This window comes from Homo sapiens, chromosome 4, assembly GCF_000001405.40.
Source record: "Homo sapiens chromosome 4, GRCh38.p14 Primary Assembly".
Lineage (NCBI taxonomy): Eukaryota > Metazoa > Chordata > Mammalia > Primates > Hominidae > Homo > Homo sapiens.
Genome location: NC_000004.12, coordinates 54845171 through 54859825, shown reverse-complemented (window position 1 = coordinate 54859825; position 14655 = coordinate 54845171). Strand labels below are relative to the sequence as shown.

The window sequence follows — 14655 nt, the reverse complement described above, 5'->3', positions numbered from 1 at the left end:
CTATTTAAACTTCAAAGTTCAGCTCCAGATGTCTTCTATGCTATGGGGTCATTCCTAAGTCCTCTGGGCACAGTCTGTGGTTCATGACTTATTATTCTTATCTTTTCTATAGCACTTAAACAAATTTGGTTATTTATCTGCTCACAATTCTGTTTTTCCACCCAATTTTTCCTTTTGAATGGCATGAACTTTGTCTTATTCATCTTTGTGTCCCTAGTGCCTATATGCTTAATAAATCTTTGTGGAATGAATGAATGATTGAGTGAATAAGGAGAAAAACATGAAGGGCAAGTGTAGGAGAAAACAGATATGATGGCAGTCTTTATTTATAGATAGGGTGCTGTTCATGCCCCTAAGTAGTAATTTCTTTTTTGTTTAAACCAGACACCTTCTGGACTATATGTTCAGACACTTCATTTGTAGTGGGTTTCCTACTTTCTAAAACTGTGCATCTACTTTATAAAACCATCACTTATAGTTAAAGATACCCTCTCACTTTCTGCCTCCTTATGATGACAGGTCCTTGACACTCCTCCATCCGACTCTTCAGTTTGAATCCACGAACACTTACTTCTTCTGTGTTCTAATCAAGGTGATGACTAGTTGATACGATCATATGAGCTCAGCTAATCTGCTATTCGGTAAAGGGCTACAGAGAAAGTTAGTCAGATCTTCAGGCTCCTTACTCTTCTCCCAGGCAATTTTTTCTTGGTGGCCCTCTGAAAGTAATGCTGTTGTTTAATCTGATAGCGACTGAGATTAGGTGATATCAGTCAAGAGTGGACTCAGCTGCAAGTAGCAAGGAACTCGAGAAGATTGGCATAAGGAAGGAAGAGGGTTATTTTTCTCCTATTAAGAAAAGCAGAGGTACTTAAGTCCAGGGCTGATACATCTAATCATAGTGTCTTCAACTATGCAGAGTCCTTCCACCTTCTGAGCTACCATTCTTTGTGGCTTTTATCTTCATGATTGCAAGGTGACTGCTGTACCATGAGGCTTTGCATCTATATTCCAGACAGGAAGAACGGGAGAGAGGGAAGGGCAAATCAGTGAAGAAATGTGCCAGCCAAATTAGAGTTATTTTAGTAAGGAAGGAATAAGAGAAAACAGCTTTAGGGTTGGGATCTAGCAGTGTCTGCCACAGAGCACTTACATCCTAACGAGCCAAGGAAGAGACATGTTTGAATCCCTTTCCTTTGGGCATTTTCTCAAATCGTGAGAAAAGGCTTACTCCTCCCCGGAACCTGGAAATATCTACTATAGAACAATGTCACTCAGGATTCTCTGGAGAAACAGAACCAGTAGGATACCATTATCTATCTATCTATATCTATCTATCTATCTATCTATCTATCTATCTATCTATCATCTATCTATCGATATTTTTATTTTAAATCAGCTGACATAATTGTGGGGACTGGCAAGTCTGAAATCCGTAGGGTGAGCTGGTAGTCCAGAAATTCAGGTAAGAGTCAATGTTGCAGTCTTGAGTCCAAAATCTGCAGGGCAGGGCAGCAGTCAAAAAACTCAGGCAGCGTTTCTCTTTTGAAGTTGGGAGGCAGAATTGCCTTTTCTTCAGCAACTCAGTTCTCTCTCTCTCTCTCTCTCTCTCTCTGTGTGTGTGTGTGTGTGTGTGTGTGCATGCGCGTACTTGCTCGCTCTTAAGGCTTTCAGCTGATTGGATGATGCCTACTCAATAATGGAGGGTAATCTGCTTTACTCAAAGCCTACTGATTATAAATGTTAATCACATCTAAAATTAATCTTCATGGAAACATCCAGATTTATGTTTGACCAAACAACTGGGCATCATAGCCTAGCCAAGTTGACACATAAAATTCTCTGTCAAACCCTCAAGATCTAGTCCAAAACCATAGCCCAGGGAATGCAAAGCCCTTTCCAAAGTAGCTGCACTTCCCAGGAGCTTATGTTTTCAGGGCCACCTCAGGTGCTACAACACATTCTGCTTTGCAGCTTCCATTCTATACCCCAGTTCAAGTCTGCCCTAAAATTCAAACCTGTCCTCAATATCCTATGACAGAAACATGACTTGCACACAGCATTTATGAATTTTAAAGACTTCCCTGACTGTTGAGTTGGGAGACATCCCTCCACCATATTCCATATCCCTTTCCCCTCCCTTCTTAGCAACTCCCTTTTCCACTGAAATCCCCACCAAAACCCCAAATTCTTTCTCTCCAACTACGCAAAATGATTTCCCTTCTTCTGATGTTTAAAACCTTGAATTCTCAGGTATTTGGAATCTACCTTGAGTTCTTATCAACATATTATTTTTCACACAAAGACATGTCTTTTCCTAATTGGAACTCTGGACTGATTGCTAAGATGACAGTATTTTTTACCTCTTTATACCTAGGAGTGTGAGACCAATAAAAAATGGCCCTTGAGAGAGTTCAGGCTTTTCAATCAAGAGAGGGTGATGAAGACATACAGAGGCAGAGATTTCAGAAAGGCATTATAACCCCAAACAGTGGCCCCATTTTTCTGCCAACAAGCTGAAGCTCCTAAGCACAGCACACATGGTTCTTGACTATTTCTCTACCTTCCCAGGCCATCTACCCTCCAACCTTATATTCCAGTCATGGTAGACTACTGGCAGTGCCATGCCTTTGCCCATGCTGCTGTTGCTTCTCTCTCTCTCTCTCTCTCTCTCTCCCCCAGTCATTCTGGTGAGCTCATCCTTCTGAGAAGCTTTTTCTGCCTCCTCCAGGGAGAATGCTCCCATAGATCCTTGTACAATAATTCTCCCCCAAGAGGACCAGGATCCTTAGCACTCTCTATTCCCTTGTGCCTGCCGTAGCATCAAGACCACAGTTCCATAAATACTTGTTGGATTGAATTCAGTTCAAATGAATTGGCACAAGACATAGTTCATCTTTGGAGATTTTCCACCCAAAGTCATTACAAAGCCAAATAGAATTTCACTTCTGGGTCTTGTATCTAAACTATTGTCACATTGCAAAGAAAACATTGTTTTCCACTTTTAAGAGAGGAAAGAAAAAGACCATTCACATAGATCACTGAGAATGTACAGAAAGATCTGCTATTCTCTTGAAGACCACAGCTAGAGAGACACTGACTTAAAAAAAAATCAAATTTTATTTGATGGAAGAGGACTTCCAAATGGGAATTGCTACTCCAAAAGAAAACTCTTGTCTTTATAACTGGTAAAACTTCTGTTTTACGATTATCATTAAGATAAAACCCCAAATAAAGAATGTCTAGGGTTTCTAAAAATTACTCAGACTCCAGTTTCAGAAACATTGAGATCATAGACTCAGGATGCAGGCTTCATGACAAGATGAAGGTGAGACCCTGAGGCAGAGGACCAGGTCCTTGTACGAAGATACCTTTGATCTTCATTTCACAGATTTACATTCAGTAAGGCCAAGGGCAAATCTGCACAAGAGAGTAAGCAAGCTGGCATGCACACGTCCTAGACACAAAAGTTGCCATGACTACCTGTGGTTGTGTCTGTGTGCAGGGCCCTACTCGCACGGGAGGCCGGTACACAATACCCTTGGCACAGGACTCCCAGCTATCTCCCTGTCCCCCAAAGAACCTTTTTACTGTTCCCTTTGGTCTTGCCATCGTGCCTGAGAAGAGAATGTAGAGGCCTGGAAGATTACAGCAGGCTGGCCCCTGGCCCCACAAGCTCAGCCCATTATCTGCCCAAGTGCTGCCCATTTGCCAACTCAGCAAACTGCTATCTCCTGGAGATTTACAAAAACATTTGAAAATTGAAAAGTATGCTTCCTATGTCAACAGGATGCCACGTGTCCGTCCTCTGAAACCTGCCGTCTACCAAAATGTGGCTTGTGGCACCACCTGCAGTGGAATCACTTTGGGAGCTGTTAAGAATGCAGATTCTTGCTCCCCCCAAAACTTTCTTGCTTCTGCATGTCTCAAGGAGTTTCATTAGCAAGGAGATGCTCTGCGGTTCTTCTGTCCCTCCTAAGCCCTTTCTTTTTATCTGGGTTCACTCCATTAGCTCATGGTGTCCTATTAGCTTTCTCAGGCAGCCTGCAGGCCCTGACCTCAACCCGGGTCTGGCCGCGGGATTGTCCCCCAGGGCCAAGGCAATAGATTATTTCTGTGTGTGCACACCATTCACCCTGGACATTCAGAGATGGGTTTTGGCTGATGAGCTCTGTGATCCTAATCTTACTGGAAGACAGCCTGCTGAGCAAAGACTGGCTGCAATCCCCACGGCTGCCAGTGCTCTTTTACTCTCCAATAATTTTTGGACTCCAAGGGGCCCTTGGGTTTACACTAAACACAGAAAGTAAAGTCCAAACATTTTCTCCTTCACCAGTTCCTTCTCCACCCACAGCTGCACCCGGAAGCCTCATAAGAGGAGCTGGGCTCTGTGAATCAATGCTGGAGTAATTTCTCCACATTCGGCTCTCAGAATCCTCGCTACCATCGTCTGGCAGATTGCAGGTGCTTCTCTTGGGATTGGGAGCCTGCCAGCCCCCCGTGTATGTGGTGCTTTGGATTGCAGCTTTCCTCCAAGTCTCTCTTTTCACCAAATAATGCCTTTGACTTCCTGTTTCCCATGCCTATTAGCTGCAGACCAACCCCATCTCCCTTTTTCTCTTTCCTAGCCTTGAGAGGGGAGCTTAGGACAACCACCTTGGGGTTTTGGCTGGAAACTGCTTAAATAAGAAGGACTGAGACACAAAGGAGGGACTCTTTCTTTCTTTCTTTCTCTGTTCTTCTTTTCTTCTTCTTCTTCTTCTTTTTTTTTTTTTTTTGGAGACAGGAGTCTCGCTCTGTCACCCAGGCTGGAGTGCAGTGGTGCGATCTCAGCTCACTGCAAATTCTGTATCTCAGGTTCAAGTGATTCACATACCTCAGCCTCTTGAGTAGCTAGGATTACAAGCATGCACCACCATGCCAGGTTAATTTTTGTATTTTCAGTAGAGACAGGGTTTCGCCATGCTGCCCAAGCTGGTCTTGAACTCCCAGCCTAAAGTGGTCTGCCTGCCTTGACCTCCCAAAGTGCTGGGTTTACAGGTGGGAGCTACTGCACCCGGCCAAAGGTGGAATTTCTATTCTGGTTTTTGCTCATTGTATACCATTAAGAAAAAAGAACTGCCATCATGCAAATGAATAATGGTGATAGACCTCTAAGGAGAGAGTCAAAAGTAAGAGTCACAAACTAACTGATGTGAACTTATTACAAAGACACATGGGGACTCAGAGTAACACAAGAAGTCATGTCCTTGGCCTTACTGGCTATGAAGTCACACTGGTGACCCCTTATGAGGCAGGGTTCAAAGCAAGGTTCAGAGCAGGGGGGCTCCCTTGGGTCTAGGTCACAAATAGTGGCCTTCAGGACATAAAACTTTCCTTGGCCCCATATACGGTGGGGCGGTGATGGGTGCAGGAGGCTTGGTTTATTTGACATAGCTTGTGTGATAAACTACCCACAAATGAAAGTGGCCAGACAGTTGGGTTTATCTTTTGTGCTAACATGACAGAAAATCATGGGCTGGAATATTGCTATAATCCTGACCTTCACCTGCCCTTCACTCCACTTACAACTTTGGGCAGATTACTCTGACCCACCTGAAATAAGTGATGCCAGCCATTTAGTTATTGCAATGGGCGCTGGAGGGTTTGTGTGTATAATCCCCTCTATTCCAGCTCCCTAATTGTTGATTTAGTACTTCTGTTGATGCCCCTTGACCAAATGTTACCTGCACTGACCTCCCAGCAGGCAGTGGTTCTATTTATACGAAGCTTTAGTCTGGTATTCTCAAGATGCTACTTATCCTCCTGCCTTATCCCACTCTCAATGGGATAATTCTCTCAGAAGACAAATATCAGCTTCAAAAGCAACCACTGAAATGTTTACATATTGCTATTAGTTGTCCAGAAATTTCACCAAAAAGGTCTGAGAAGCCTAGAAAAAAGACCCTCACAAAGCACCCTATGCAGCTAACCTGCCCAGCAAAACTGTCCTTCAAATATAAGGGAGTGATAAAGATTTTCTGAGATAAGCAAAAGCTGAGGGACTTCATCATTACTAGACCAACCTTATAAAAATTGCTAAGGGAAGCTCTTCAAGTTAAACAAAAGGATGCTAAGCAATATGAAAGCATGCGAAAGCATAAAAGCCACTGATAAAATAAATATATAGGCAAATACAGAATACTGTAATATGGTAATGGCGCTATGTAAATCAGTTTTAATTCAGGGAGCAGAGATTTCCAACAGTACAAGGTCTTCTTTATATCTTTATAATGTCAAAAAACAAAACAAAACAAAATCTGGCAGACCACCACCACTCCTCACTCCCCTCCCAAATTATGCTAAAAATTGCTTTGAGGAGCTGCAGATTGAGAAAATGTGCAATGATAAAATGAACTCAGTACCTTTTTAAAATCGAATGTATATTTTATGGATCACAATTGCTGCATGCATTCTAAAAATAGCAATACACATCTGGGAAGGTGTATTCTTTAGCAGTTTACAGATACTGCAGCTATCACAGACCTCTTGCAGGAATTCTGGATTGGAACCAATGTCAGAAAATAGTTCCCTACAGCCCCTGCTCCGGGGATCTGTTTTTCTCCTACCAAGAAGGCAGGAGCACCTGGGCCAGGAAGAGTCCAAAGGATTCAATATGTTTTCAAATTTTCCCCAATCTGGGGGACTCCACAAAGATAAGCAAGGGATCAATTATTGTAGGACTAAGCTAGGGATTCTGACCTCTTCAGGAGTAAGAATGGGGTATCTGACCAAAGCTAGAGTTCTAGGCTGTGGAAAGCAACCCATTCTCAAGGGCCTCTCCCCATCCTCAGAGGCCCCTAGATTAACTCTATAGCTAGGCTGGGCCAAAGGCCTGTGAGCCCCTGCTTTTGTGTTAGTCATAGACCGTGCAAAGTTATGACTCCAACTTTGCTGCTTAGAGATGTGACCTAGGATGGCTGTGGTAGTCATTAATGGTAGATGGCAGTACACGCCATGGCCCTCTTGTGGTTGCTGGGGCCATGTGACTAATTCTGGCCAATGAATCTTGAGCAGATGAGATGACATCACTTCCAGGCCAGATCATTTAGTTGCTACTTTGAGACCCTACAGGGCTTTCTTTCCCTCTGGAAAAGGAAAGCATGGTATTGGAGATGGTGGCTGTTCCATCAGCCTGGATCTATGAGGGGCATGATGAGTGAAGCCTCTCTACTGAATAGTGATGAACAACGAGTATTTTGGGAAATCTGCCTTTGTCGGGTTCAGCCACCACAAATCTAGAGTTGCTTATTACTGTGTCATAACTTAACCTATGCTGACCAGATAGGCTAGGTTACTCTTCGCAGTGGTTCTATATTTTAGATTCTCCAATATAATTTAGTCAAAATGGCTATTTTTATTTTTTATACTAACCAGTTGCCCCCTCCAGCACTCTCCTCCTATTTCTATCAGTCCCCTCTGATTTGACTGGAATCAAGCTGGTTTACAGGACTGCCAGGGTACTTGGCTAGTGTCATCTATCTGGCCAGGCTTCTTTCAAAACAAAGCCTTTCTCACTGTTCCCTCACAGGCAATGAGCCATGCAGGCAAGGCAGAGGAGGGCGGGCCCTCCCAGAAGCTCAGAAAACACAAAACTCATGCCTTTATGCTTTATGGATGTCAATTCAGTTTTCTCCACAGGCACAACCTTTTTTTGTGCATGACTGTATATGACATTTTGAATGTTGGCCCATTTGAATTGTTTTAGTCCTGTACCCTGATCCTCTCTGGGGCTCTTGAATACACTTGGGCTTGTGTTTAGACAGTTGCGATGATGTATTCTCAAACCCAGTGTTTAGCTGCACACTTTAATGACAGGCAAGGAGTAATTGGGCAGTTTGGCACGTGTCATGTCCTAAATGTAGAGATGAAGGTTCTAATGGTAACAGAGGGAGAAATAGATTTGTCCTGAACTTGGCAGGAATGTCACTCTGCCAAGCTCTGCCAGCCTGATGCTTAGACACTTCCAGATCCAGGACCCTTCTGAAAAGTGCAAAAGCACCCTGAAATCACCAATGAAACAGGAAAGAAAAAAACCATCTCTGCTTTGCAACACCTTTAGCACACATAAGTGACTTCGGTGTGACTCTTTGGGGTGAAGGTTTTTTTAAAAGCATGACATTTAAACTCGGCCCAACATCATTGTTTCCCCATTGCCATTTCCCTTCCTGTGACAGACATCTCATTATTAAGCATCACATTATTAGCACAAACGCTTTTTGTAGAAGCATAAAGGCAAGGATGCTTATTAATCAGAAACCAAATTTTCTATTCAGGCACATAATCAGGGATCTTGGAAAATGTGAATAGCTTATTTGGTTGGAGGGACTGAGAGCAGCTTCCTCCCATGGTACTTGATCTGCCAGGATAATGATGTCCTAGGGAAGTGTACTGTGAGACCCAGTAGAAACTACTTGAAGCTCAGCAGTCCTGTGGATGTCACCAAGGAGAGTCTTACAGGAATGGATGAGCCCCTGCAAAGTGTGAAATAAAGAGTGCTAGGAGTGCTACTCTGCTTAAAAAAAAAAATCTCCCCATCAATTTGCCTGCATTTTCAATGTCAGAGATACCTTCTTTCTTCTCTTAAAGATTTCAGATGTTAGGAGAGGTAATATAGTTAGTGGCTAAGTTCATACGCTTTGTGGTCATGCTCTCTGCATTTGAATACTAGCTTTGCCACTGACTAGCAGTATGACTTGGGGTAAGTTACCCAACTTCTCTGGGCCTCAGCTTCCTCACCTATAGAATTGGATAATAATCATTCTGCCTCATATATTTATTATTGTTTTGCCTCATATATTTATTATTTATTATTAGGGTTATTGTGAAGATTAAATTGAGGTGATATATGAAACACACAGAACTGATCTGGTACCAAATTTCTAACTTGGGGTTGAAGTTCCACTAACAGCCAATAGTGGTGGTTAGGTAGTCAGGTTGAGAAGGAGCTATTTCCAGGCTTGGAAAGTTCTCCTTGGGAAGGATTTGTTCTGGAGTTTCCTGTTGCTGTATAGCCTTTTTAAGGTCTTGATCAGTCCTAAATTCCCCAAAGACAACTCCAGAGAGTCACAACTATGGTGGAATGTGGACATGAGAGAATGAAATGAAAACAGAGCTGTTCCTTTCTCCTGGGGGTCCTGGGCTGCTACGGAAATGCTGGGCCCAATCTGAATGAAAACTGGTTTCAAAAGGTAACCCCTTAACTCAGTTTGTTAAGCTCATTTTCTGACTTCAAATGGTAGACAGAGTTTCTTTCTTCAAAAGTAGAAAACACTCTGTTTAAAGTGAAAGACCACTGAAAAGTAAACATGATTAGTTCGCCTTAATCAAGAATGTTCAAAAAACTTTTCAGAAATTGCAGGATCTAATCCCACAGGGGGCAGCTGGTTCCCAAGCCCTTTTCTTTTCTTTTCTTTTCTTTTCTTTTTCTTTTTTTTTTGAGACTGAGTCTCAGAGTCTCGCTCCGTCGCCCAGGCTGGAGTGCAGTGGCGCTGTCCCGGCTCACTGCAGCCTCCGCCTCCTGGATTCAAGCAATTCTCCTGCCTCAACCTCCTGAGTAACTGGGACTATAGGCGCGTGGCACCACTCCTGGCCCAGACCCTTTTCTACGCACAGTACTGGAGGACAAAGGCACAGAAAGCTGCTGACCTATCTGGTCACATCCTGGGCAGTGCCAAGAAGAGGCTGCTTCTATCTTCCTCCGACTTTTTGAGGTTCTAGTCACAAAATTGTTTTTCTTGCTCACAAATGGCTCTGTCCTATGCAAAGTGCTGAACAAATAAAATGGAAGTTTTAAAGTTCACACTGACCTTTTTTGGTGCTTGGGACAATGCAATCTTTTCAGTTCGTAATGGAAAATAGATTAAGCTACCTGCCTGGTTTGCTTTTTAGGAAGTTGCAGCCTTCCCATTTTTAATGCCCTGAGATCTTTGCTCAAACTGTCTTTTTTGGTACAACCCATGGGCATTGTGCATAGTCAAGGAGGGCTTATTTGTAACCTGGTTTGGGTTTTACTTCTCTCCCAAAGCAAGTCACCAGCTTTTTGTTTTAACGTAATCTCCCATTTTCTCCAGTTCCTTAATTCACATCATAAAAGTTCACTTTCTTTAGCTACTGACAATTGAAATCAGAACAAAGGGCCCAGAGAAGTATATATATTATAAACGTTTTTAAAAGGTATTTTCTGGGCCTGGAGTCTTTCAATGCCAATTTATCCAGAGTTTTATTTTGTTTTGTGTGTGTGTGTTTTGCTATTACTCCAGGTTAATGGACTCTCTGAATACCAGCCCATCTAATTCTTTCTCTAAAATGGCATTTTGTATTTTCTTCCTGAAAACTCTTGACTCTGTGTCAGGACAGGGTATACTGGATCTTCTCAAGGAATTGCCTGCCCAGCAGACATTATTTTGGCTAGGAAAACAAATAGGAAAATATTAAATAAACATAAGAGTTTGCATTACTGGATTTTCTAAAAGCAAAAAGAAACATATATTTATTTAATGGGCCAACCCCACTGGAAAAGCCTCCAGAGAACCAAGGAAATGTTTGTGTCAGCAACCTGAAGTAAGGAAAACCTCCTCTAATTTTCATTTTCTATCTTCTTCTTCTTCTTCCAAATCTTCAAATAAACTCACCAGTAACTTTATACTTTTGCTTAACTAAAATGAGATATTCTGGCATGCACTGCCAGAGCGCATGCCTATTTATCCAAAGGAGAGCAGGTGCTGGGAACCTGCCTTGGTGATCACATTCCTTCAGTCCCTTCAAGGGTTATCACTGGATTTGAGTTTCTTGGCTACACAAGTACGATGTACTTATAAATTTGACTACTAATAACAGCTCATTTTATGTTGAATTTAGAAAATTGGAGATTTGCAATAATTGACTCTGCAATAATATCAAGTTTCATTGAGATATACACTGGATAAGGAACAAAGTAGTTTGCATGCATTAATTAGTTCATTTAATTCTTAGGACAACAACCCCATGAGGTAGATAGTGTTATTACCCCTATTTTACAGGTGAAAAAACTGAAGCACAGAGAAATTAAGTAACATGTTCAAAGTTACATAGCTGGTAAGTGACAGAGGCAGGATCCGAACCCCTATTTTGATTCCAAAGTCCAAGCTCTGAATCACAGTTGACTCTACTTCATGAACTGGTGTCTAGCAGCCTGACTCTTGTGTAGTGGATTTGAAACGATACTTGTTGAATAAATTAAAAAGCGAACAAATAAATTAATCCTTATATTAGTCCTATCAGGAAAATCAATACCTATAGTATTCAAGGTAAACACAGCTAGCTTCTGTAAAAAAGCAACCACTACATCTCAGTGGCTTAACCACAGTCAAAGTGACTTTCTCCCATATGTGACAAAGTGATATGGTCAGTAAAGGTGGAGAGTATGCACTCTGCAGACCTTCAGGATCCAGGCTCCTTCCAAACAGTGCTTCTGCCATTTTCAGTACTTGTCTCTGGAGGTTGCCCGGAGCATTCTTGTCTCCAAGCTTGCATATTATCCAGGTGGAAGATGGTAGCTGAGAGAGGACAGGATGACTCTGGGAGCTTTAGGTCTAGACCTGAGAGTGTTATGCGTTAAGTTGGCTGGAACTCATAACAAGGCCCCAGTGACTGCACAGGGAGACTGGGAAGAGTGGCTTTGCTATGTTCCCAGGAAGAGCGTGAAATGGGTTTAGTGAGCACACAGCTTTGTCTCTGCCACCGATCCATACCCTGTTTTTAATAGATGGAAATGTACAGACTTATACAGTATTTTCTTAACAAAATCCTTCCCTCAGGCTTGAATGGAAATGTCCATCATTTGAGTGACTCCTTTGAGTTTGAAGGCAAAGATGGGAGTTTTACACACCTAAAGCCAGGCGCAAAATGTACAAACTCTTCCTAGGACTACCATGACTAGTTTTCTTTTGTTGACAGTATTAGAAAGCTCCAGGGTTGGTTGGGAAATTTTAATAAAGGTGGACTCCATGAAAAACTCTGGGTGTTGAGGATGGAAGAAGCAATCTGATGGTATGGCTTGGTGAAGGATGCCTGGTTTAGAGATAAAACATGTGTGTGGCTTTAAAACTTCACAGGTTTACTTATAAAGCGGTTAATTATTTTATTCAAGATGACAAAGAAGCAGTTGGTAAACCAGAGCAGGAAAGTATTCATCTCTTTATCTTGAACTTGACCCCAGTGGGTGACCTCATTTCTAGGGAGTTTCTTTTCATTGAGAAGTGTGCTTGAAGCTTACGTTAGTGACAATTGGCAAAGTCTTCCTCATTTTAAAATTATAACCCATTAAGGCAAGCTTCTGTTTACTCTCCCATGTAGCAAGGCTCTCAAGTTTCTAATTTCTAATGATAGACTGAATTATTCATAAAATACATCTATCTTTCTTACTCCAATTATTAATCTCTTGATGCCATTGGGGGTCTTGAGGCTCTGCTGTAAAAGCTTAATGCATTTTGCATCACTGTGTCACACTCACTGGCAATGTTTCTGGCCTGGCTTAAAGGGGTTAAAAAATAGGACTTGAAGTGGTGCCAGACAATTAGGTAATTACAAAACACTTTTGTACATTAAAGTAATCTTGTAAGCATTATGCCTGAATCGTGGCTGCCAACTTAGTGCTTTCTTGATTGTACACTAGGGTTTTCAAAGTCATCATCAAATTCTAAGATTTTTTAAAAAGATCACTACCTATTTTAAGAGAGTACTGTGATTTTTTTTTTCTCAGTAACTTCTTACTCATATGAAAATGCTTCCAAATTAATAATGATCATAGTAGCCAACATTCATTGAGCACTCACTATATACTTGGTTCTGTGCTAAGGACTTCGGAAGTGCTATCTTATTTAGTCCCTTCAACCACCCTATGAAACAGGTAATGATAAACAGCTAAGGATCAGGGAGTGCATTCCAGCTGCAGACACTCATTTAATATAATTACAATCTTCTGAAGTATATACTTTAAATTTCACTGAAAGTAAGAAGCCATCAATTGTAAGGCCACTGTTATGGCCAGAATTGTGTTCCCTTAAAATTCATATGTGAAGTCCCAATTCCTAGTTTAAAACAAGACGATATTTGGAGATAGGGTCTTTAAAGGGGTCATGAAGTGAAAATGAGGACGGGGGGGTGGGCCTTAGTCCAATATGACAAGTGTCCTTATAAGAAGAGGAGATTAGGGCAGGGTGCAGTGGCTTATGCCTGTAATACCAACAATTTGGGAGACTGAGGCTGGTGGATGACTTGAGCCCAGGAGTTTGAGACCAGCCTGGACAACATGGCAAAACCCTGTTTCTACAAAATATACAAAAATTGACTGGGCGTGGTGGCACCTGTCTGTAGTCTTAGCTATTCGGGAGGATGAGGTGAGAGGATCCTTTCCAGCCTGGGTGACAGACTGAGAACCTATCCCAAAAAAAAAAAAAAAAAAAAAAGACGATTAGGACACAGACACACAAAAAGGGAAGACAACGTGAGGACACAGAAAGAAAATGGCCATCTACAAACTATGACCTCAGAAGAAACCCTACCAATACCTTCATTTCAGATTTCCAGCCTCTACAACTGAGAGAAAATACATCTGTGGTGTTTAAGCCACCCAATCTGTGATACTTTCTTACGGCATCCCTGGCAAACTAATAAAGACACCACTATTTTATGTATCATGAAGTAAGAATAAACATAGTAAATTAAATAAGAACCATGGCTATGACTTTTTACTTTAGCTTTTGTGCATACACAAAAAGGAAATCATAAGCGAAATACATGAGTGAAGGCATTCCTAAAACTTCTTCACCTAGGGTATAACTTTTCTAAAATGCTTTGTTAAAATCTGTGATTTTTCACACAGTTATCTTCTTTACCATCAACAGTGTTGGTGATGCAGCAGTTTTTCAAACAAGGCACCACTGTTGTCTCTGGAATGTTCTTCAGTCCACAGATATTAATCCTGAAAGTTTTGATGCTGACATTGTTTTGACCCTGCTGCTCTGTTTCATTGCTTTTTGTATACAAGATAAATATTATGTCGATGCAGATTCATGTGGTAAAAATTTTGCACTCAATAATGAGTTACATAAAAAATTTAAAAAGAGGAATTTGAAGTGGGGGCATGTCTTGAAATAAAAGGAAGAACCCCCCACCCAATATAAATAGTCTACCTCACAACTTTTCCACCATCTGTCTTGACATCCATCCATCTTCTGGTTGGCATAGAAATCTGACATTCTTTCCCATTAGGGGACAAAGTTATATTCTATGTGTTACCGAGGTAACTGGGGGCACTTGGGGCTGAACCAATCTGAGTTATCCTGATGGTATCCAAAGACGACATCATAAAGAGAGGGTTCTGGGGGACATTTGACCCTGGTCTCATATGCGCCAAGAACCTCAAATTTAAAATTGGGATTTTTTTTTACTTAAAAAAAAAATCTGACTACCCTCAAATATACAAATGATTCTAGTCTTCCCTGATTTCTAAAAGGTCCTGATACCAAACATGAACCTGCATTTTCATCCATCTTTGCAACCAGTATTGATAGAGTGGCTACTGTGACTTGCACTAAGCTGGGTGGGCATGCTTTAGGCACCCAGGGAAGCAAG

The 14655-nt window shown here is 41.7% G+C and overlaps 1 long non-coding RNA gene across 1 annotated transcript; it reads right to left on the bottom strand.

Annotated features, from left to right (window-relative positions):
• Positions 1–308: 308 nt before the first annotated feature.
• LINC02358 (long intergenic non-protein coding RNA 2358) lies at positions 309–14339 on the bottom strand. The gene is made up of 2 exons (XR_001741510.1): positions 14214–14339; positions 309–1004 (listed from the first exon to the last, which is right to left on the bottom strand). It is a non-coding gene; the product is annotated as a long intergenic non-protein coding RNA 2358 (long non-coding RNA).
• Between the last annotated feature and the right edge of the window lie 316 nt (positions 14340–14655).